At 39.9% G+C, this 24,726-nt stretch overlaps 1 protein-coding gene and 1 pseudogene across 7 annotated transcripts in view, besides 1 other annotated feature; one reads left to right on the top strand and one right to left on the bottom strand.

The window, feature by feature from the left end:
- The window catches only part of SETD2 (SET domain containing 2, histone lysine methyltransferase), a 148,405-nt gene that overhangs the window by 113,968 nt on the left and 9,711 nt on the right, over positions 1–24,726 (top strand). For 6 of the 7 annotated variants that reach the window (NR_146158.3, XM_024453487.2, XM_047448045.1 and 3 more), the window contains 3 exons: positions 4,252–4,386; positions 8,173–8,312; positions 13,096–13,207. Coding sequence is in view for 5 of the 7 variants with exons in the window: in XM_024453487.2 (XP_024309255.1) it covers positions 4,252–4,386; positions 8,173–8,312; positions 13,096–13,207 (387 nt within the window). In the remaining 2 variants the exon portion in view is untranslated. Of the gene's footprint in view, positions 1–4,251; positions 4,387–8,172; positions 8,313–9,389; positions 9,514–13,095; positions 13,208–24,726 lie in introns of those variants that run through there. The other variant, XR_007095670.1, reaches the window with a different exon arrangement.
- Positions 9,325–9,534: a silencer, noted in NCBI's record as "fragment chr3:47082829-47083038 (GRCh37/hg19 assembly coordinates)". NCBI's record gives its function as "represses an EF-1alpha promoter that drives an FKBP-Casp9 reporter gene in an ReSE screen in K562 erythroleukemia cells {active_cell/tissue: K562}" and the evidence as "EXISTENCE:reporter gene assay evidence [ECO:0000049][PMID:32094911]".
- On the bottom strand, positions 21,834–22,029 carry MRPL57P3 (mitochondrial ribosomal protein L57 pseudogene 3; annotated as a pseudogene).

Here is a 24,726-nt window from a genome sequence, read left to right as displayed (position 1 = left end):
TATAATCCCAGCTACTCAGGAGACTGAGGCAGGAGAATTGCTTGAACACAGGCAGCAGAGGTTGCAATGAGCTGAGATTGCGCCACTGCACTTCCGCCTGGGTGACAGAGTGAGACTCTGTCTCAAAAAAAAAAAAAAAAAAAAAAAAAGAGAGAGGAAATGTATACAGGTTGAGTATCCCTTATCTGTAATGCTTGGGACCTGAAGTGTTTTGTATTTCGGATTTTTTTCAGATTTGGGAATATTTACGTTATATATACTTAGTGGTAGAGCATCCCTAAGTCAAAATCCAAAATATTCCAGCGAGTATTTCCTTTGAGCACCATGTGGACGCTCAAAAAGTTTCATATTTTGTAGCATTTGGGATTTCTGATTAGGGAAATCAGAAATGTTTATGCTCAGCCTGTACATAAATACAATCATGTGCCATGCAATGGCGTTTTGGTCAACAACAGATGGCATTTATGACAGTGATCCTCGTAAGATTATTATGGAGGTGAAAAATTCTTCTGGCCTTCTGACATCTTGATGATCCTGACTCCGTGTAAGCCTAGGCTAGTGTGTGTGTTTATATCTTAGTTTTTGTTTTTTTATGTTGATACATAATAGGTGTACATATTTTCAGGGTACATGTGATAATTTAATATATTCATATAATTTGTAAAAATCAGTGTATTGAGATATCCATCACCATAAATATTTGTCTTTTCTTTATGCTAGAAACATTCAATTATTCTCTTCTAGCTATTTTGAAATATACAATAAGATTATTCTAAAATATAGATACCTTACTGATCTATGAAATACTTGGTCATGTTTCCTCTATCAAAATGTATGTTTTTCCCATATATATATATGTTTATATATATAAGAAACATAAATTTATATATATAAGAAAAACATATAAATATATGTACAAATATATAAACTTATAGAATAAGTTTATATATAATATATAAATTCAGAATAAGTTTATATATATAATATATACTATAAACTCAGAATAAATTTATATATTATATATAATATAAACTCAGAATAAGTTTATATATATAATATATATAATATAAACTCAGAATAAGTTTATATATAATAATATAAACTCATAGAATAAGTTTATATATATAATATATAATATAAACTCAGAATAAGTTTATATATTTAATATATAATATAAACTCATAGAATAAGTTTATATATAGGCCAGGCGCGGTGGCTCACACCTGTAATCCCAGCACTTTGGGAGGCTGAGGCGGGCGGATCACAAGGTCAGGAGATCGAGGCCATCCTGGCTAACAAGGTGAAACCCCATCTCTACTAAAAATACAAAAAATTAGCCAGGTGTGGTGGTGGGCACCTGTAGTCCCAGCTACTCGGGAGGCTGAGGCAGGAGAATGGCGTGAACCCGGGAGGCGGAGCTTGCAGTGAGCCGAGGTCGTGCCACTGCACTCCAGCCTGGGCGACAGAGCCAGACTCTGTCTCAAAAAAAAAAAAAAAAGAATAAGTTTATATATATAAGAATACATATATATATATATATATATATATATATATATATATATATATATTTAGAAAACTTATTCTATAAAAAACTTATAGAATAAGAATAAGGATATAAAAAAAATATTTGGCCCAGTGTGTTGTCTCACATCTGTAATCCCAGCAATCTGGGAGGCCAAGGCAGGAGAATCACTCAAACACAAGAGTTCAAGACTAGCCTAGACAACATAGCGAAACCCTGTCTCTACAAATTTGTTTTTAATTAGCTGGGCGTGGTGGCACATACTCGGGAGGCTGAGATGGGAGGATTGCTTCAGTCCAGGAGTTCAAGGCTACAGTAAGCTATGATCACACTACTGCATTCCAGCCTGGGTGACAGAATGAGACTCTTTTTTAAAAAAAATATAGGCCAGGCACGGTGGCTCACACCTGTAATCCCAGCACTTTGGGAGGCTGAGGTGGGCAGATCACAAGGTTAGGAGATGGAGACCATCCTGGCCAACATGGTGAAACCCCGTCTCTGCTAAAATAAAAAAAATTAGCCAGGCGTGGTGGCACGCACCTGTAGTCCCAGGTACTCGGGAGGCTGAGGCAGGAGAATTGCTTGAACCCGGGAGGTGGAGGTTGCAGTGAGCCCAGATCGCACCACTGCTCTCCACCCTGGCGAGGAGGAGGGAGGAGGGTTGTTTATACAGCTGTAGAATGTGTTTGTATTTTAAGATAAGTGTTATAAAAGAGTTAAAAAGTTGAAAAAATTTGTTTATAAAGTAAAAAAGTTATAGTAAGTTACAGTTAATTTATTAAAAAAATGTTAATAAACTTAGTGTAGCCCAAGTGTTTATAGTCTACAGTAGTGTACAGTAATGTCCTAGGCCTTCATATTCACTCACTCACCACTCACTTACTCAAAGCAACTTCCAGTCCTGCAAGCTTTGTTTATAGTTAGTTCCCTATACAGGTGTACCATTTAAATTTTGTTTTTTTGAGACGGCATCTCGCTCTGTTGCCCAGGCTGGAGTGCAGTGGTGCCATCTCGGTTCACTGCAACCTCTACCTCCTGGGTTCAAGCGATTCTTCTGCCTCAGCCTCCTGAGTGGCTGGGACTACAGGTGCATGCCACCATGCCTGGCTAATTTTTTGTATTTTTAGTAGAGATGGGATTTCACCGTGTTAGCCAGGATGGTCTCGATCTCCTGACCTCGTGATCCGCCCACTTTGGCCTCCCAAAGTGCTCGGGTTGCAGGTGTGAGCCACCGTGCCCCGGCCTAAAAAATTTTTATACTGTATTTTTACTGTAACTTTTCCATGTTTAGATACACAGATACTGTTAAGTTATAGTTGCTTACAAGTCTTTATTACAGAAACATGCTGTACAGGTTTGTAGCCTAGGAACAACAGACTATACCATATAGCCTAGGTATCTAATAGATTTGTGAAGTACACTGTATGATGTGTAAGTACCTCATACACTTAGTAGGTTTGTGAAAGTACATTATATGATGTTACCACAACAATGAAATCTCCTAACAATGCATTTCTCAGAATGTACCCCCCTTGTTAAGCAATACATGACTGTACATTTTCCTCTCAGGCTTTGTGATACTATTCTGATGGTAATTCTGCCTTAACAATTAATGTTTTTCAGTCTGGTTTATTATCCAAGTAGATTAAGCTGATCCAGAATACCAAATTAAGTGTTCTTTTCCTTTTTCCTGTGTCCTGTCAGTAATTATTCATTCAGAAACCTGCTAGATAGCTGCATTGCCTATTCAGACTACTTGAGTTTTTACTGGTGTCATTTGGAATTATATTTTGTATTTTGAGTACTTAGCATTTGATGTTTCTGTAATCATTTTACCTGCTAGAATCTCAGTCCATAGGAGCAAAATCTCTCCTTAAGCACAGGATACATGTCTATTCAATTCCTTAACAGTCACCACCTCTTAGGACAGCAAGGCTATTTTTCAGTCTTCTTATCACCTCTTCTTATTTAAGCAGATTTTCTATGCTTGAGAAATAATTACAGAGTAGGTTTAAGCCCTAGCATAGTACTTATTTCTTATGAAACTCCAGGCATGGGCAGTACCTGGTTTTGATGGTGGTCAGCACTAAATGAGATGATGTATGTTAAGGGGCTTCTTGCATCATAGAACACTGTATAAATTGGTGTGTTGTGAGAATTTCAGATGCATTGATTCTGCTTTCTGCCAAGGGGTTTTATCATAGAAGACTACAAAAAGCTAAAACAAAAGGTAGCTTAAAATTTGATCATCTTATTTACTATGATTCACACCCTTTGACCTTTTCTGATCCAAACAACCTGTTTGTTATTACAAGTTGGTAGCAAAAGCCTTCCTGAAAAGAGCAGCGTGGCATTGTTTCTTGGATATCCCAGGAGCAGCACTTCATTGGTTTTTGCTTATAGAAACTGTCCACCTGTTTAATTTTCAATGTCATTCCAATGTCATTGAAAGCTAAACAGTTGGAGAATTTCTATGACCAAAAAAAAAAAAGCTTTTATTTTCTTATGATAAAGTAAAATCAAAGTAAGTAAATGAATAGGGAATTAGTAAAAAAAGAAACTTTGGGGTTTGAAACAAAAAATTGTTTTGCACATTTATGTCCAAATATATAAACAAAAAATTTTAAAATGTTATGGGTATATCTTTAAGATTGTGCCAACTTGGAAGTCAGTCTGTTTATTAAAGTGACAAAAGCTTAAATTATTGATTTCTTCATTTTATCTTTTAGAGTTATGCCCAGCCAAGTCTTCAGTATATCCAGGGGCAACAGATTTTCACAGCTCATCCACAAGGAGTGGTGGTACAGCCAGCCGCAGCAGTGACTACAATAGTTGCACCAGGGCAGCCTCAGCCCTTGCAGCCAGTAAGAAATGTTTCAGTTGTTAAAACTCATTGGCTGTCTACTTTGTCTTTGGAAGGTTTTCTTTTTGGTTTGGATTTGTTTTGGGTTTTATTTTTGGGTTTTTTTTTCACGTGTTCTTTGTTTTATTTTATTTTATTTTATTTTTTTTTTGAGACAGAGTCTCGCTCTGTCACCCAGGCTGGAGTGCAGCGGCACAATCTTGGCTCACTGCAACCTCCACCTCCTGGTTTAAAGCGATTCTCCTGCCTCAGCCACCTGAGTAGCTGGGATTACAGGTGTGTGCCACCACGCCTGGCTAATTTTGTATTTTTAGTAGAGACGGAGTTTCCCCATGTTGACCAGGCTCGTCTTGACCTCATGACCTCAGGTGATCCACCCGCCTCAGCCTCCCAAAGTGCTGGGATTATTTATAGGCATGAGCCACCACGCCCGGCCCGTTTTTAAATTTGTGTAGCCACCAAATTCACCTGAGCCACCCTGAGGGCGTGAACTCAACCATTTTGTAAAAAAAAAATTTTTTTAATTCTGTGGAATTTATAGTTCCGTTAATACATATTTTGCTCCGCACCTGTAGTCCCAGCTACTCAGGAGGCTGAGACAGGAGAATGGCGTGAACCTGGGAGGCGGAGCTTGCAGTGAGCTAAGATCGCGCCACTGCACTCCAGCCCAGGTGACAGAGCAAGACTCCATCTCAAAAAAAAAAAAAATGCTCCTAGGATCCTTTTTATTTGTTGTTTACCCTGACCTTGTATTTTTATATTTTACTATGAATTTTTGAAGTAATAATTTTTTTTTTTTTTTAACTCTGTCACCTAGGCTGGAGTGCAGTGACACGATCTTGGCTCACTGCAACCTCCACTTCCTGGGTTCGAGTGATTCTCCTGTCTCAGCCTCCTGAGTAGCTGGGACTACAGGTGTGCATCACTGCACCCAGCTAATTTTTGTATTTTTTTTTTTTTTTTTTTTTAAGAGATGGAGTCTTGCTCTGTCGCCCAGGCTGGAGTGCAGTGGCATGATCTCGGCTCACTGCAAGCTCCGCCTCCTGGGTTCTCACCATTCTCCGGCCTCAGCCTCCTGAGTAGCTGGGACTACAGGCGCCCGCCACCACGCCTGGCTAATTTTTGTATTTTTAGTAGAGACGGGGTTTCGCTGTGTTAGCCACGATGGTCTCAATCTCCTGACCTCGTGATCTACCCGCCTTGGCCTCCCAAAGTTCTGGGATTACAGGGATGAGCCACTGTGCCCAACCTTAATTTTTGTATTTTTAGATACGGGGTTTCACCATGTTGGCCAGGCTGGTCTTGAACTCCTGACCTCATGATCCGCCCGCTTCAGCCTCCCAAAGTGTTGGGATTACAGGCGTGAGCCACCACACCTGGCCGAAGTAACAATTTCCTAGACCAGCTATCTATCAGTATTTACCGCGTACAGGTTGAGTATCCCTTATCTGAGCTTCACGGGACCAGAAGTATTTCACATTTCAGAATTTTATGGATTCTGGAATATCTGCACTATAATTACCACTTGAGCATCTCTAATTTGAAAATGTATAGCTTGAAATATTCCAATAAGCATTTCCTTTGAACATGGCCTTTGAGTGTCATGTCAGCACTCAAAATGTTTTGTATTTTTGTATTAGGGCTGCTTAACCTGTACTAGAATATGATACTGTACTAGTCACCATGGACTAGGCATGTAGAATTGTGTGATATACTTCACTATACATGTTGTACAATGTTTAAAAAAAGTTTTTTATATGATGTTTAATATTAAGATAAGCTTTTGGTATTCTGCAACATATGTAGGAGGATATGGTGAAATCTCAAAGTGTTGTTGTTTTTGGATAAAGTGGAAAATAAGAGGTTGGCATGGGAAACAACTGAAAAAACTAAACAGAATAGCATGGTCAAATCAGCACTTTAGAACACCTACAGTTCTGGAGAAAGCTCTTGCAGCAATCCAGCAATTGATGATGACTTTAGACAGGACAGTTAGTGAAGATGGACTAAAAATACTATATGTGAAATAACAGGATAATAAGATAATGTGTACTTAGAGCAGATGTTTGAGTGCTTGTTACGAGTTGAGCCCTTCTAGGCCTTTTTTTTTTTTTTTTTTTTTTTTTTTTTTTTTTTTTTTTTTGAGATGAAGTCTTGCTTTGTTGCCCAGCCTGGAGTACAGTGGTTTGATCTCGCGGCTCACTGCAACCTCCGCCTCCCAGGTTCAAGCAGTTCTCCTGCCTCAGCCTCCTGAGTAGCTGGGATTACAAGTGCACACCACCACACCTGGCTAATACTTTTGTATTTTTAGTAGAGACAGGGTTTCACTATGTTGGCCAGGCTGGTCTCAAACTCCTGACCTCGTGATCCACCTGCCTCGGCCTTCCAAAGTGCTGGGATTACAGGCATGAGCCACTGTGCTTGGCCGACTAGGCATTTTTAATACAAACATAAATAAGTTTCCATTTGTATTCTTAAAAGCTGATCTTTCAAATAAGAGAGATGATGATCACAAGAGAAAGATGGTGACTACACTAAAAATAAAGTTTTGTGTTGGGAATAAGTACTGAATGGTTTGGAATATATATTTTTTCTTTTTTGCCTTAAACTATTAAGAGATAAATGGTTTGGAATATTAAGGGACACAGAAGCTTGGGGAAAAGAGGTCACTTTATAAGCTAAAGGATAGGGTAATGGAGGAATTGAAACTTAAGCTGGGCCAGAAAACCCCAGCTGGGTGAAATAAGAGATAAAAAAGAGTATACACAAAGCAAGAATGCTCAAAGACCCGTGTTTGCTTAAAAGTGAACACATTTTATCTGAGCCTGGGGTCTTCAGGTTCCTCTTTAACTGTGCAAGCAAAGGTAAAGGTAAAAAATGTATTCTTCATTAATAGGCTTGAAAGAAGGAACAAGTATATATCCTTGTGGTGATTACTAGTCTGCTAGGGCTGCGGTAACAAAATACCACAGACTGAGTGGATTAAATAACAGAAATTTTCTCACAGTTCTTGAGGCTGGAAGTCCAAGATCAAGGTGTCAGCAGTGTTGGTTTCTCCTGAGGCCTCTCTCCTTGGCTTGCAAATGGCTGCCTTCTTGCTGTATATACCTTTTCTCTGTGAGTGTCCTCTGGTGTCAGTTCTCTTTTAATAAGGACACCATCCTATTAGATAAAAAGTCCTCACTCTTTTGACTTCATTAATCTTAATTAGCTCTTTACAGGCCCTGTGTCCCAGTAACAGTCACAGCAGGATTAGAGCTTCAACATACATGTTTTGGGGAAACAAAAATCAGTCCATAAGTGATTATGAGGTTTTTATGTTTTTCAGAATGTGGCACTAATATTTTATAGTTTTGAGGTTTCAAGTACGGAAAAAATATAATGGATAATGTTAACATTCTGTCATATTTGCTTCTCAGGGGGTTTTTTGGTTTTTCTTTTTTTTTTTTTTTAAAGATAAAGATATTTCTGTATCCCATTTAGTTAATTGGTATCCTGCAGTTGATATGCCTTAGAATTGGTGTTTTAAAGTTGAAAAATGCTGCTCTATATGATAAACTATATGGTATCTTGGATGGTAAACTTAGAGCCAACTGTCAATTTTCTGATAGCTCTGTAAACCTCTTTATATATACTGTCCCTTATTTCCCAGACTGTACCTTTCCTTTATCCTTTTTTTAAGAGGAGGTAGATGTACATTTTTACATATTTAAGTGGGCTATTTTGTCCTATTCAGCCAGATTAAGAGAGAGATCACTGATCAAAAATGTGTGTGTTTTCTTTGTAGTCTGAAATGGTTGTGACAAATAATCTCTTGGATCTGCCGCCCCCCTCTCCTCCCAAACCAAAAACCATTGTCTTACCTCCCAACTGGAAGACAGCTCGAGATCCAGAAGGGAAGATTTATTACTACCATGTGATCACAAGGTAAGAGGAGCTGTATGGGCGTTCCCATGTCTGCTTTTACTTAATCAAAGAAGTTGCCACTATAAGGGGAGTTTTACAGTTGTAAACTTCTTGTCATTAGCTTTTCACTGTGCTTGAAGGCTGCTGGATTTCCAGAATCACATCTTAAGTGTATTTTAGACGTTAGACTTTGGTTCTTTTTGTATTTGTTTTGGTGTATTTTTATTTTATTTATTTTGTCACCCAGGCTGGAGTACAGTGGTGTGATCTCAACTCACTGCAACCTTCTGCTCCCATGTTCAAGTGATTCTCGTGCCTCAGCCTCCCCAGTAGCTGGGATTACAGGCATGTACCACAATGCCTGGCTAATTTTTGTGTTTTTAGTGGAGACGGGGTTTCACCATGTATGTTGGTCAGGCTGGTCTCGAACTCCTGACCTCAGGTGATCTGCCCTGCCCGCCTTGGCCTCCCAAAGTGCTGGGATTGAGCCCCTGCACCTGGCAGTTTTGGTGTATTTCTAATCTGCAAGACTCTTGGAGAAAGCTGAGGAGATTTTTTAAATGCTCCTTCATCTAATATTGTATAAGTATCAGGGGTCATAGACAGATCTTTTCTGTAAAAGGCCAGAAAATAAACATTTTAGGTTTTGCCAGCCAAGCAGTCTATATCATAGCTACTCAACTCTGCTGTTCAATTTTTTTTACGGACAGCGCTTTTCTATTTCCAAATTAAATAGCTAGATTGTTTATCCTTGACACACATTATTTATGCTTACTGTAGAAAGCAAATATAGTAGAAAAGTACTAAAAAAGGAAGTATAATTCCTGGAACTGCCACTACTCAGAGATAACTCATTTAATGTTTTTAAAAAATACCGTTTAGACAGATAGCTTTATGTGGGTATATGTACTTTGTGTGTGTGTGTCTCTGTGTGTGTGTGTGTGTATATATACACCCATCTATATAATCTTACGTAAATTGTTAAGATAGATGTTTTTGTAGTCTGCTTTATTTACTAATCTATTTCATAGAGCTTTATCAATTAACATAGAACTATGGAATTTTTTCTTTAAAATTTTTTTTTTCTTTTTTTTGTAGAGACAGAGTCTTTCTTTGTTGCCCAGACTGATCTGCACGAACTCCTGGCTTCAAGCGATCCTCCCACCTAAGCCTCCCAAAATGCTGGGATGACAGGCGTGAGGCACCACACCCAGCTACAACTGTTAGTTTTAGTAATTGTTTATACTTTGCTGCAGGGCTGGCAAACTATGCCCACAGGCCACTTGTTTTGGCAAATAAAGTTTTATTGGAGCACAACCATGCACATTTGCTTACAAATTGTCTATGGTTGCTTTCACACTACAATGACAGAGTAGTTGTGATAGAAACCATTTGGCCCACAGGTCAAAATATTTATCATCTAATCATTTACAGAGAAAGTTTGCCAACCCCTGCTCTATTGTATAGCTATATCAAATTGTATTTAACTCACTCTCATTGATAGGTCTTCACTATTTTATATCTAACTATAACCTTGGGCATCCTTAGGGACACTAATCTTACTACTTCTTCGAGAGGGTACTTAGAAGTGGAATTGTTGGGCAAAACAGGTACACATTTTAAATTGAGAAATATTGTCAGCTTACCATTAAACAATAGTTTGTATCAATTTGGACTCTCACAAAAAGAAGTATGTATAAGTTCCTTTTAGCCATGTACAGCAGCTCATGCCTATAATCCTAATGCTTTGGGAGGCTGGGGCAGGAGGATCGCTTGAGGCCAGGAGTTTGAGACCAGCTTGGGCACCATAGTGAAACCCCATCTCTACAAAAAATACAAAATTAGCTTGGCATGGTGGTGTGCACCTGTAGTCACAACTAGTTGGGAGGCTGAGGCGAGAGGATCACTTGAGACAGGAGGTCAGATCTGTAGTGAGCCATGATTGCGCCACTGCATTCCGGCCTGGGTGACAGAGCAAGACCTTGTCTCCAAAAAAAAAAAAAAAAAAAAAATCCTTTTCCCTCATGTCATCTATTTTAACCTTGCAAGTCTAACAGGTGGGAAATATTTTTATTTTCAGTTATTTTACTATTGAGATGGGATGTCTTCATTCGATTGTTGGTCATTTGTATCTTTTGTGAGTTACTTGTGTGGGCCATCTACCCATTTTCTGTCCAGTGTTAGATTTCTTTATCAAGAGTTTTGTTTCTGATATCTTGTGACATAAAGAAGCTTAAAATTTTCATATATTTTCCCTTTCTGCTTAGAAGGGCCTTCCTTACTCGCATTAAAATGCTTCTATAGGCTGGGTGCAGTGGCTCACACCTGTAATCCCAGCACTTTGGGAGGCCAAGATGGGCAGATCACCTGATTTCAGGAGTTCAAGACCAGCCTGGCCAACATGATGAAACCCCGTCTCTACTCCAGATACAAAAATTAGTTGGGCTTGGTGGCAGGTGCCTGTAATCCTTCCTACTTGGGAAGCCGAGAGGCGGGAGAATTACTTGAACCCTGGAGGCAGAGGTTGCAGTTAGCTGAGATCGCGCTACTGCACTCCAGCCTGGGTGACAGAGTGAGACTCTATCTCAAAAAACAAAAAGGCTTTTATAAAATGAGTCCTCATTATGTTGCTAATTGAATGTGTAATGATTTTAAAAACCACGTGTGGTTTAACCAGAACTTTTTTTTTTTTTTTTTGAGACAGAGTTTTCACTTTTGTTGCCCACGCTGGAGTGCAGTGGCGTGATCTCGGCTCACTGCAACCTCTGCCTCCAGGGTTCAAGTAATTCTCCTGCCTCTCAGCTTCCTGACTAGCAGGGATTACAGGCACCTGCCACCATGCCCAACTAATTTTTTTTTTTTTTTTTTTTGTATTTTCGGTAGAGACAGGGTTTAACCGTGTTGGCCAGGCTGGTCTCAAACTCCTGACCTCAGGTGATCCACCTGCCTCGGCCTCCCAAAGTGCTGGGATTACAGGTGTGAGCCACCACACCTGGCCAGAACTTTGTTTTTTAACACCAAAACAAATTTTAAATATTCTATCAATCTTCCAAAAATAAAAAAAGTTTGGGCCGGACATGGTGGCTTACGCCTGTAGTCCCAGCACTTTGGGAGGCTGAGGTGGGCGGATCATGAGGTCAGGAGTTTGAAACCAGCCTGACCAACATGGTGAAACCTCACCTATACTAAAAATACAAAAATTAGCTGGGCGTGGTGACACGCACCTGTAATCCCAGCTACTCAGGAGGCTGAGGCAGGAGAATCACTTGAACCCAGGAGGCAGAGGTTGCAGTGAGCTGAGATCACGCCATTGCACTCCAGCCTGGGTCACAGAGCGAGACTCCATATCAGAATAAAAAAAAAAAAAAGTTTGTATTTCTTATTTATATGTGTACCTTTCCCATCTTTTCTAGGTTTTCTTTATCTGGTAGCTAAGAACAGACATGTATATATTTGTTCAGTTTCTATAATAACATCCTTAGCTGCTTGTGGTTCTTTTATTATGGTAGAAATCTTGAGCCTTTTAAAATAAATGAGTTCCATAGGTCAGAGGTAAGCCTATTTTTACAATAGTCTATATATATGTATATACACTGATTTATATCAAGTGTCTTTAATGTTGTTATGTTGTTGACTGAAGATTGATGTGGTGGTAAAGCAGAAGACTGTAGTGACAAGACTGACCTGCCAGATTTGTTAGATCCTTTGAGGCTTTTGACATTTTAAGTCACTGTCCTCATAACATTCTCTGTTACAGCTGGCTTCAGACTCCTGAACGTGAATATCCTTACTTCCACTTTTTATCCTACAGATCTTTTTTAAAAAAGAAAAATCTTTGCTTGCTTATTTTCAAAATGACTGTAAACATTTAAAGGGTTAACATGGCCGAAACCTTCTTTTTGCAGTCGGTCGGGAATATTTTTAGCAGAGGGTACAAGTTTTTGTTTTTTTTTTTGTTTGTTTTTTAAGACAGAGTTTCACTCTTGTTGCCCAGGCTGGAGTGCAATGGCACGATCTTGGCTCACTGCAACCTCCGCCTCCCAGGTTGAAGTTATTCTACTGACTCAGCCTCCTGAGTAGCTGGGATTACAGGCGCCCGCCACCACGACTGGCAAATTTTTTGTATTTATAGTAGAGATGGGGTTTCACCGTGTTGGCCAGGCTGGTCTCGAACTCCTGACCTCAGGTGATCCACCTGCCTCAGCCTCCCAAAGTGCTGGGAGTACAGGCATGAGCCACCATGCCTGGCCAGGGGTACAAGTTTTTAACCTGTACGTATTTTTCTTGTCAGTCATTAAACCAGAGGGGCAGAACTATTAAAAAGAAAACTCCTAAAGCAAGGGATAATTTTCTCACGTGGTCAAGGACTGTGAGAGGTGTTACATGATTTATTTTGCTCCATTTATATGCTAGGTACAGTCACTGTTTACCTCTTCATCTACAGAGGGGTGACATAGGCAGGGACCTATTTCCTGTACATTTTAGGCTTTGCCCAGTCTTATTTGCATGACATTAAGAGTCAGGTGAGAGACAGACAGGATGTTTGGGTTTACTGCTCTCTTTGACACCCAGTCAGTGTTGCCACATCATTGCCCACAGAAATACAGTCATTGAAGAGGGGCATATCTCTGTGCTAGAATCATTGCTGTTAGGAAGATAGAAAAAGTTTGTCTTTAACTCATGGAGCTGACTTATTCTATGTCTTATTGTATGTTGTATTTTATGTATGTATGAGCAGTGATGTTTATGTCAGGATTCTCTGTTTCCTAGCCCTGACAGCATGGCTGTTTTTGTCTCTTTCTAGGCAGACTCAGTGGGATCCTCCTACTTGGGAAAGCCCAGGAGATGATGCCAGCCTTGAGCATGAAGCTGAGATGGACCTGGGAACTCCAACATATGATGAAAACCCCATGAAGGTGAGTGTGGCTTACACATGTATTTCCTGATCATTTGGGAGTCCGTCCAAGACCATCCCGCATGGTCTTGGGATTCTTTTTTCTTTATTCTGAAAAATAAGTGAGTGACTATGCATGTATCAAGGTGTAGAGATGAAGTCAGGGAGAAAGAATGGCCTTTTTACATATACACCATGGAATACTATGCAGCCATAAAAAATGATGAGTTCATGTCCTTTGTAGGGACATGGATGAAACTGGAAATCATCATTCTCAGCAAACTATCGCAAGGACAAAAAACCAAACACCGCACGTTCTCACTCATAGGTGGGAATTGAACAACGAGAACACATGGACACAGGAAGGGGAACATCACACTCTGGGGACTGTTGTGGGGTGGGGGGGAGGGGGGAGGGATAGCATTAGGAGATATACCTAATGCTAAATGACGAGTTAATGGGTGCAGTACACCAACATGGCACATGTATACATATGTAACAAACCTGCACGTTGTGCACATCTACCCTAAAACTTAAAGTATAATAATAATAAAATAAAAAAATATAAAAAATAATCCCATTACAACCCTGAATCCCTTTTCAAAAAAAAAAAAAAAAAAAAAAAAAAGAATGGCCTTTTTTAGACATTGAGAGACTCAGATGCATACTAACTACTTACTCATTTGAGGGAGATATATGGCCAAGAATTGTGATGGGTGTTCAAAACACCCATTACTATGATCGCTTCAGGGCCTCTCTTGTTCTCTTTGCCTTTTTTTTTTAAATGAGACGGAGTCTCACTCTGTTGCCCGGGCTGGAGTGCAGTGGTACAATCTCGGCTCACTGTAACCTCTGCCTCCTGGGTTCAAGCAATTCTCCTGCCTTAGCCTCCCGAGTAGCTGGGACTACAGATGTGCACTCCACGCCCGGCTAATTTTTGTATTTGTAGTAGAGACAGGGTTTCACCATGTTGGCCAGGCTGGTTTTGAACTCCTGACCACAGGTGATCTGCCTGCCTTGGCCTCCTGAAGTGCTGGGATTATAGATGTGAGCCACCACGCCCGGCCTCTCTTTGCATTCTGTTGTTAGTGCCCATAACATATGCTTTCGTGATTGGTCTGTTCAAAACCAATAGGAGGGGTGGGTTTTGTTGTTGTGTTTTTTGTTTTTTTTGGTGTGATCTTGGCTCACTGCAACCTCTGCCTCCTGGGCTTCAGCAGTTCTCATGTCTCAACCACCCAAGTAGCTGGGATTATAGGTGTGCGCCACCATGCCTGGCTAATGTTTGTATTTTTAGTAGAGATGAGGTTTTATCGTGTTGCCCAGGCTGGCCTTGAACTCCTGACCTCAAGCAATCTGGCTGCTTCAGCCTCCCAAAGTGTTGGGATTACAGGCATGAGCCACCACAGCTGACCGTATGAAGTGTCTTGAATGAAATCAGATATCATATTTTTATGTTCTAAAACCTGACTAATATTTTTTTAATTTTGAAAAGAATTAAGTACTTCAGTGGTTAAATTATTGGGAATAGGTGGAAGAAGGAAGAGGGAAGAAAAGGAGCTGGAGTGAGAAGGGATTAAAGTAGAAATGAATTCATTCTTGTTTATATTTTATTCACTTTTGGAGGAAATATTTTCCTCTTTTCACATGTGTTTGGCATTTGCAAAAAGATACACACTTACGTTCAATCCATGTGGAGTTTGCTAAATTTCAAATGAATCACATAAATCACTTAGCCACTTCACTCCAGCTGTTGTGCTGTCTTGTTTTCCTGAATCATTTAGGAATATGCCCAAGACTGCTAGGCACTTGACATTTAAATTATATGTAAGCTTAAATACAAACAAAAATCACAACTCCCATTTCCAGACTTCTGTACTGTGTTAGTTATATCTTTTGAAAAATAAACAAAGGGATTAAGATAAGATCTGGTGCAGCAATACAGCTGAGTTCTGGGGCCAAGTTTATAAAGCATGTTGGAGGCCTTACCCTTCTTAAAAGCCCAAGTTCATGGGCACCGTAACTATTAATCTTGATTCAGTCTTTTGGTCTAGTATATGCATATTAAATTAGGCCTTTCAAAGCGAATGAGGAATGGGCATGAAGTTCACTGTTGCTTATTTAATGCTCAAGGAATTGCCTTTCTTATATGAAGACCTGTGTTAGGAAATCCAGGTCATCAAACTAGCCAAGCACAAAGTAGGAGCTGAGAAGTAGGGGCCAAGTAAAAGGGCAGCTTATGTGCCATGCTACACAATTAGACGTTCATTCTCTGGCTAGCTGGTGAGAAAGGGAAACCTTTAAAGTGATTTGATCAGTAACATTTGCCTTTTACAAGGCTCTCTGCTGGAGATGGACTGGAGGGGTTGACCATGGAGCTGGCGCCTTCACAATGAGCTTATTGTAGTAGTTAGGTCTGCTCAGCACCCAAGAGCACCAGGCACCACCTGTTAAAAATGCAGAGTCTCACTCCCTGTCCCAGACCTGCTAGATCAGAATCTGAAGTGATACAAGGTCCCAAGGTAATTACACATTCAAGTCTAAATAATTGGCAGTATTGTCTGTGATCAACTGTAAGAGAAGTATGATCATAAAACCTTACTATATCCAACCACCCAGAGTGAGTATATTTGTCAGGTTATGTTTGATCTTTACTCCTCTGTTACCATAGGTGCATGTGTGCCTGGGGAGTAGGCTCTTGAAAGTATTATATCCAAAAGGCAATGCCTGAATTATAATCTACTAGCTTGGAACTTTGGATCTCTAAATACACATTTTAAATACACACAGATCTGAACTTCATCTCACTCTTTCACATTTTGGTTATTTATCAGACATTTGAGTTCCTATTCAGCACAAATGCCATGCCCAGACCTGGGGGTACAAAAACAGTATAAGGCAAGGCTATTGCTCCCAGGGGTCATAGGAAGGTAAGGTTTGAAAATGTACGGTATTATATGTTAAGTGGTAAACTGAGGGATTTATTTATTTTGTCATTTGATTTGCTTTGCTTTGTTTTTAGAGGCAGGGTCTCCCTCACTCTGTAGCCCAGGCTGGAGTACAGTGGTGCAAGCATAGCTTACCGTAACCTCGAACTCTCAGGCTCAAGTAATCCTTTCGTCTCAGCCTCCTGAGTGGCTAGGACTATAGGTACATGCCACCATGCCTGGCTAATTGTTAAAAATTGTTGTAGAGACAACAAACAAGGACTTTAGAGGCCTGCAAAAGAAAATATAGTCTATCCTAGGAAGGAAAAGAGCACTAAACTAAATCTAACACTTAATTCACAATTAATTCTGATATATTGATATGCTCATGTGTGTTGGGGGAGGTACATGTATAAAAACGAAAGGGAACGGGAGATTATAAAGAGAAAACATTCCTCCTAATACTAGCTCTTAACTGCCTCGGGGGGTTATAGAGTAGTAGTTCCAATGGAGATTCAAAGGTATCAGCTTCACTCAGTTGTTAGAGAAGATTGGAGAGGCACTTTTATTCTTTTCTGCCATTGTATGTATACATAAATAAATCCGCAAATAATAATGAGAGTGCAGAAAGAATTAAGCTGCCAAATGTATTTCCTGTTGTGAACAAATAAAGGTAGAGGTCTTCTCTCCCAAAAAGAATAATCATAGGCTAGGCACGGCAGCCTACTTTGGGAGGCTGAGGTGGCCCGATCACTTGAGGCCAGGAGTTCAAGACTAGCCTAGCCAACATGGTGAAACCCTGTGGCTCAAGCCTGTAATCCTAGCACTTTGGGAGGCCCAGGCAGGTGGATCACCTGAGGTCAGGAGTTTGAGACCAGCCTGGCCAACATGGTGAAACACTGTCTCTACTAAAAATAGAAAAATTAGCTGGGCATGGTGGCACATGCCTGAGCACATGGTAATCCCAGCTGCTTGAAAGGCTGAGGCAAGAGAATCGCTTGAACCCGGGAGACGGGGGTTGCAGTGAGCCAAGATTGCACCACTGCACTCCAACCTGGACAACAAGAGCGAGACTCTGTCTCAAAAAAAAAAAAAAAAAAAAAAAAAATCAAACCATGACAGGGCTTATAACTTTAGTTACTTGAGTGCAAGTGTTAAGATTTGGTCTTGGTTTTCAGTCAGAAATTCACATATACAATCAATCAGATTAACTTCTCTATACTCAAGAGCTGAGTCCCCCTCAGTTCTTAGGAGATACACACATTCCCCTAGGCTTCAAGCCAGCCTCCTTCTAGATTACTTCTCCTTCAAGCCTGTCCCTGCCTACACTGGCAGTCCTGCACCATGTGCTTCCTCAGCATGGTACAAATGGTTGCTTATAGCTCTGTTATGCTTTTTCATCCTGGGAGCATAGAAGAAACTCAACCAGAGAAAGTTAGGAGGACTTTGTGAGAAAGTGGCATTTGAGCTTTAAAGGATGAGGAATTTTTCAGTAAGCAAAGATAGGCTAAAAGGAAAGCTGGAGCAAAGGCAGGGAAGGAAGGGAGTGTTCGGGATATGTTTGGGGAATAGCTCTGTTTACTTGTATGGGAACATAGGCATCATAAAACTTGTAATCCAGCATGAGGTTGGAAGGGCATTGTTGGGGATAGATCTTGGGGATTTGAAAATGTAAAAGAATATGAACCTTTGTATGGTGGGAAACCTTTGAATTTTTTTTTAGTAAAATTTATCTCAAGGCTTATGTTTATAGGCCCTAAAATTCAGAAATGATACTGTAAATAAAGGAATTGACAAGTACTTGTGGAAAGCAATTCAGTCTTTAAGGATGGCTTTTTTTTTTTCATCTCTGAGACAGTCTAGTTCTGTTGCCCAGGCTGGGGTGCAGTGGTGCGATCTCGGCTCATTGCAACTTCTGCCTCCCGGGTTCAAACGATTCTCATGCCTCAGCCTACTGAGTAGCTGGGATTACAGGCACCTGCCACCACGCCTGGCTGATTTTTGTATTTGGAGTAGAGACAGGGTTTCACCATGTTGGCCAGGCTGGTCTCGAACTCCTGACCTCAGGTGATCCACTTGTCTCGGCCTCCTAAAGTGCCGGGATTATAGGTGTGAGCCACCGTGCCCAGCTTTATTATTTGTTTTTAAATTTTTATTTGTCTTTGCTTTCTTTTGGATTGATTTAGAATTTATTTCAAGTATTCTGGTTTTTTTTTGTTTTTGTTTTTCCTATTGGCTTAGCCATACCTCTTTATTTTCTTTTATTTTTTATTTTTTTGAGCCATGGTTCACTCTGTTTCCCAGGCTGGAGTGCAGTGGCACCATCAGGGTTCACTGTAGTCTCCACCTACCAGGCTCAGATGATCCTCCCGTCTTAGCCACCCAAGTAGCTAAGTTTTGTACATTTTTGTAGAGACAGGGTCTGGTGGTGTTGGTGACCAGGCTGGTCTCAAACTTCTGGTGTCAAGCAATTTTCCTGTTGTGGCCTCCCAAAGTGCTGGGATTATAGGTGTGAGCCACCACACCTGGCCTGCTTTACTTCTTGGTGGTGGTTTTAAGACAGTGGTTCTCAAAGTTTGGTGTGGGGACCTCTAGGTTCCTAAGACTCTTTCAAGGGAGCCACAAGGTCAAAGCTGTTTTAATAATAATATGAAAACATTACATGCCTCTGTCACATTTGGTACATTCACAAATATACCATGGAATTTTCCAGGGGGCACATGACATATTTGAATGCAGAAGGCAATGAGACTTCAGCTGTATTCTAAGCGAGATGTTTAAAGAGATTTCCAAAATGTAAAACTGCCACTCTTAACTGAATTGCTTTAGTTTTGGAAAACAGTTACTTTTCACAAAAAATTATATTATTGTTATATGTATTGTTATATAATAGATTTGCTAATGTTATTTTAAAATAATGCTTTATTTTTTCTCAGTTTAACTTAATTTCTAATATGAAAAATTTTGATAGCTATAACCCATACGAATAAAAGCTCTTTGCGGTCCTCAGTGTTTTAAGAATATAAAGGGATATTTATACTCTTTGTACCTACACATTTGAAAAAACAGTGTTGTAAGGTTTACAGTATGCATATTTATCTTATCACAATCTACCATTAAGTCCTATATTTACCCACATATTTACCATTTCCAGCACTCTTCATTCTCTCATGTAGATTTGAATTTCCATCTGGAATCATTTTCCTTTAGCCTAAAGAATTTCCTTTAACATTTCTAGTATTTCAGATCTACTGTTGATGCATTTTGTCAGCTTTTGTTTGTCTGAAGAAAGGTATTTATCTTACCACTTTTTAAAAAGTAGTCTTTATTTTTAAAGCAATTTTAGTTCTGTTTTGGCATAGCAAAATTGAACAGGAAGTACGGAGAGTTTCCATATACCCCCTGTCACTACACACGCACAAGCTTCCCTTTCTGTCAACATCAAAGCACAAGAGTGGTACTTTGTTACAATTGATGAATCTACTATGACACATTATTACCACCCAAAGTCCATAATTTACATTAGGGTTCATTCTTGGTATTGTACATTTGTGGGTTTTAACAAAGGTATCGTGTCATCTATATAGCATCATAGTAACGTACAGAATAGTTTCACTGCCCTAAAAATCATTTGAGCTGCTGCTTACTCATCATGCCTTCTCTCCTCATCCCTCTTCCCCAGTTCCTGGTAACCACTGATCTTTTTACAGTCTTCATAGTTTTGCTTTTTCCAGAATGTCATATAGTTAGCTACAGTAGGTAGCCTTTTCAGATCGGCTTCATTCACTTAGCAATATGCATTGAGGCTTCCACCATGTCTTTTCATGGCCTGATAGCTCATTTCGTTTTAGCACTGAATGTCTGAGTGCGCCGCAGTTTGTTTATCATTCACTTACTGAAGGACATCTTGGTTGCTTCCAACTTTTGGCAATTATAAATAAAGCTACTAAAAACATCCATGTACAGGTTTATTATGACAGATACTCTCACTGGATATGGAATTCTAAATTTATATTTTCTTCCTTTCAACACTTAAAAGATGTTTCCATTTTTTAATAATAGTTTCTAATAAAAATATAATTATCTTTTTCCCCCATATGTCTTGATTTTGCCTTTTATAAACAGTTTTTAGCGGTTTGTGGTATACCTTGGTTTTGTTTTCTTTGTGTTTAATCTGCTTGTGATTCTTGTACATTTTAGATCCATGATTGGTAGTTTTCATCAAATATGGAAATTTTTTCAAATATATCTTTTTATACCATTGTCCCTTTTCCTGGGACTCCAATTACATACATGTTATTAAACCGCTTGATACTGTCTCACAGAGCACCACATCTCTGTCAAATTTTTTTCAGCTCTTTTCTCCCTGTGCTTCAGTTTGCGTGGTTTCTGTTGGCCTCTATTTAAAGTTCACTGATTTACCTTCTGCTGTATTGAATTAGCTAAGCTCATCCATTGATTCATTTTAAAATTTCAGTTATATTTTTCTGCTCTCAAATTTTAATTTGCATATTTTTTAATAGTTTTAATTTCTTTTTTATTTTTAACAGTGCTGATAAATACCTTTCACTTCATTGTATTTTTCATATTTTATTTTATTTTATTTTTTTTCAAGACAGGGTCTCACTCTGTTGCCCAGGCTGGAGTTCGGTGGTGCGATCTCGGCTCACTGCAACCTCCGCTTCCCAGGTTTAAGTGATTCTCCTGCCTTAGCCTCCCAAGTAGCTGGGATTACAGGTGCCTGCTACCACGCCCAGCTAATTTTTGTATTTTTATGGGGTTTTGCCCTGTTGGCCAGGCTGGTCTCAAACTCCTGACCTCAAGTGATCTGCCCATCTGGGCTTCCCAAAGTGCTGGGATTACAGGTGTGAGTCGTCGTGCCCAGCCATTTTTACTTCATTTAAATGTCCGCTTTTTGTAGTCAAGTCCCAGAATAAAATGCTATTTTTAGGAATATGTTTAACTGAAAAACTGCATTTAAGTGTTGGCAGTTAAGCAAACTAACTTTGCATGATAAAGCCCCTATCAAGTATCTCATACTTAAGCAAATACCCCCAAATCATAGTTTGTAGCTTTATTGTAGCTTTTTTCAAAATACATTTTATACCATGTGTTCCCCAGGAAATCCCTGATATCTTCCTGTCAGGTCAAAGAAACAAGAAACACAATAGGACAGTGATTATATTTTTAAGTATTAAGGGGGTTAGAGTCCCAGGTATTCTATATGCAGACCACTATACTTATATTTGTGTGTTTTTTATTTTGTTTTTTTTTTTTGCTTTTTATTTGTGTGTTTTAATAAGTTTCTGATCCATAGGCTTACATTTTTATAGAAGCTACAGTTTGAGTTCCATGACCAGATAAAGACAGGGCAGCCCTGTGATCTACAAGATTGAAGGGTGGCTTGACGCAGTGGCTCACACCTGTATAATCCTAGCACTTTGGGATGCCAAAGCAGGTGGATCCCTCAAGCCCAGGAGTTTGAGACCAGACTGAGCAACATGGCAAAACCATTAAAAAATGCAAAAAAAAAAATTAGGCATGTTGGTGCACATGTGTAGTCCCAGCTACTTGGAGGGCTTAGGTGGGAGGATCACCTAAGCCCCAGAGGTCGAGGCTGCAGTGAGCCAAGATCATGCCACTGCACTCCAGCCTGGTGACAGAGTGAGACCTCGTCTCAAAAAAAAAAAAAAAATTAAAAGTTTGGGGGTGTTTGATAGTTCAGGGTTAGGACCATTTGTTGGTGACATTGAGATGGTCGAGCTAGTCTACAACAAATCTATGTGAGGGGAACTTGGAAGTGTTGGCTGTCTTCATGGCCTCAAAGGCCTCTGCCCTGTGCACTACAGTGTAGCCTACTCCTGCCCTGTGGTCAGGTAGGGCATGCTCAGCCAGTAGTGGTTCTCCAGATGACCAATCTACTGCCACCAGGAATGCTACTGTGGTTGGGGAGGACAGTCAGGAACATGATGCCACCTGTGCTTCTCAGGAGTCTGTCCCTTTGGCCCAGTAGTTTTAATTTCTTCACTGTGTTCATGTTTTCTTTCATAACTGTGAGCATTTATAATAGCTTTTTAATAGTTGCCTGCTATTTTCAGTTGAACACTGGACATTGTGACCATTACATTGTTGAGTTTCAGAATTTTGTTACTTTCCATTAAGAATGTTGAGCTTTGTTCTGATAGCCAGTCAAGTTACTTGTGGATCACCTTGATTTTTTAGAGGCTGTTCTTAATCTTTGTCGGGTTGAGTCCAGAGTAATTTTTTCTCTAGGGTATCTCCTAAGGCATCACCTGTCTGGGATCTCCACTGAATGCCACAGGTTATCTAATGGATATCTCTTCACTTTAGCTGATGGAAGCTCACATGTTTCCCAGCCTTTTGTGAGCTCTGAGAATTGTTAGCTTATAGTTTATCTCAGATACTCTAAATTCCAATCCTTGTCTCCTTAGCTCACTGAGAACTCCATGCTGTGCGTGGGTTTTCCTCTCTGCCCCAGAGTCTGGTAAATTTCTCCACGCAGAAAAGCCAAGGTAATCATAGGGCTTACCTCATTTTGTCCCTTGTCTCAGGATCATAGTTTAGTGCTGCTTAATGTCCAGTGTGTGCAAACTGCCTTTTTCATGTATTTTGTCTAGTTTTCCAGTTTTTAACTCTGAGAGGGCTAATTCATTTAACAGTTAATCTGTCATGACCAGAAGCACAAGTCTGGACAAGCTTTTTAAAAACAAAACAAAACAAAAAAACCAGCATCCTGGCTAACACAGTGAAACCCCAATTCTACTAAAAAAAATACAAAAAATTAGTCAGGTGTGCGGGGGGGCGCCTGTAGTCCTAGCTACTCGGGAGGCTGAGGCAGGAGAATGGCGTGAACCCGGGAGGCGGAGGTTGCAGTGAGCCGAGATCGCGCCACTGCACTCCAGCCTGGGCAACAGCGAGACTCCATCTCAAAAAAAAAAACAAAAACAAAAAAAAAAACCAGCAGCAGCAGCAACTTTATTGAGGTATAATAAACCTAGTATAAAATCTAGTCGCTTTAGATTTACAATTTAATAGCTTTTAGTAATTTACCAAATTATGCAGCCATTACCATAATCTGGTTTTAGAACATTTTCCTCCTCCCAATAAGACCTCTCATACCCATTTGCAGTGACTTCCTAGCCCAGGCACTAATCCATTTTTTTTTAAATTTTATTATTATTATACTTTAAGTTTTAGGGTACATGTGCACAATGTGCAGGTTTGTTACATATGTATACACGTGCCATGTTGGTGTGCTGCACCCATTAACTTGTCATTTAGCATTAGGTATATCTCCTAATGCTATCCCTCCCACTTCAACCCACCCCACAACAGTCCCTGGTGTGTGATGTTCCCCTTCCTGTGTCCATGTGTTCTCTTTTTTTTTTTTTTTTTTTTTTTTTGAGATGGAGTCTCGCTCTGTCGCCCAGGCTGGAGTGCAGTGGTGCGATCTCAGCTTACTGCAAGCTCCGCCTCTCGGGTCATGCCATTCTCCTGCCTCAGCCTCCTGAGTAGCTGGGACTACAGGCGCCCGCCACCACGCATGGCTAATTTTTTAAATATTTTTTAGTAGAGATGGGGTTTCACCGTGTTAGCCAGAATGATCTCGATCTCCTGACCTTGTGATCTGCCCACCTCAGCTTCCCAAAGTGCTGGGATTACAGGCATGAGCCAATCCATTTTCTTTCTTGATAGATCTGCCTCTTGTGGGCATTTTATGTAAATGAAATAATACAATATATGGCCTTTTGTGATTGGCTTATTTTATTTATTTATTTTATATATATATACTTTAAGTTCTGGGGTACATGTGCAGAACGTGCAGTTTTGTTATATAGGTATACACGTGCCATGGTGGTTTGCTGCACCCATCAACCCATCACCTACATGAGGTTTTTCTCATAATGCCATCCCTCCCCTAGTCCCCTACCCCCTGACAGGCCCCAGTGTGTGATGTTCCCCTTCCTGTATCCATGTGTTCTCATTGTTCAACTCCCACTTATGAGTAAGAACGTGTGGTGTTTGGTTTTGTGTTCTCTTGTGTTATTTTGCTGAGAATGATGGTCTCCAGCTTTATCCATGTCCCTGCAAAAGACATGAACTCATCCTTTTTTATGGCTGCATAGTGTTCCATGGTGTATATATGCCACCTTTTCTTTATCCAGTCTATAGTTGATGGACATTTGGGTTGGTTCCAAGTCTTTGCTATTTTGAAGAGTGCTGCAATAAAAATATGTGTGCATGTGTCTTTACAGTAGAATGATTTATAATCCTTGTGGTATATACCCAGTAATGGGATTGCTGGGTCAAATGGTATTTCTGGTTCTAGATCCTTGAGGAATTGCCGCACTGTCTTCCACAATGGTTGAACTAATTTACACTCCCACCAACAATGTAAAAGCATTCCTATTTTCCACAACCTCTCCGGTGTCTGTTGTTTCCCAACTTTTTAGTGATTGCCATTCTAACTGGCGTGAGATGGTATCTCATTGTGGTTTTTATTTGCATTTCTCTAATGACCAGTGATGATGATCATTTTTTCATATGTTTGTTGGCTGCATAAATATCTTTTTTTGAGAAGTGTCTGTTCATA

Source organism: Homo sapiens, chromosome 3 (genome assembly GCF_000001405.40).
Source record: "Homo sapiens chromosome 3, GRCh38.p14 Primary Assembly".
In the NCBI taxonomy this organism is placed as follows: domain Eukaryota; kingdom Metazoa; phylum Chordata; class Mammalia; order Primates; family Hominidae; genus Homo; species Homo sapiens.
Note: the sequence above shows the minus strand (reverse complement) of the source record. Positions and strands in the feature narration are given on the sequence as shown.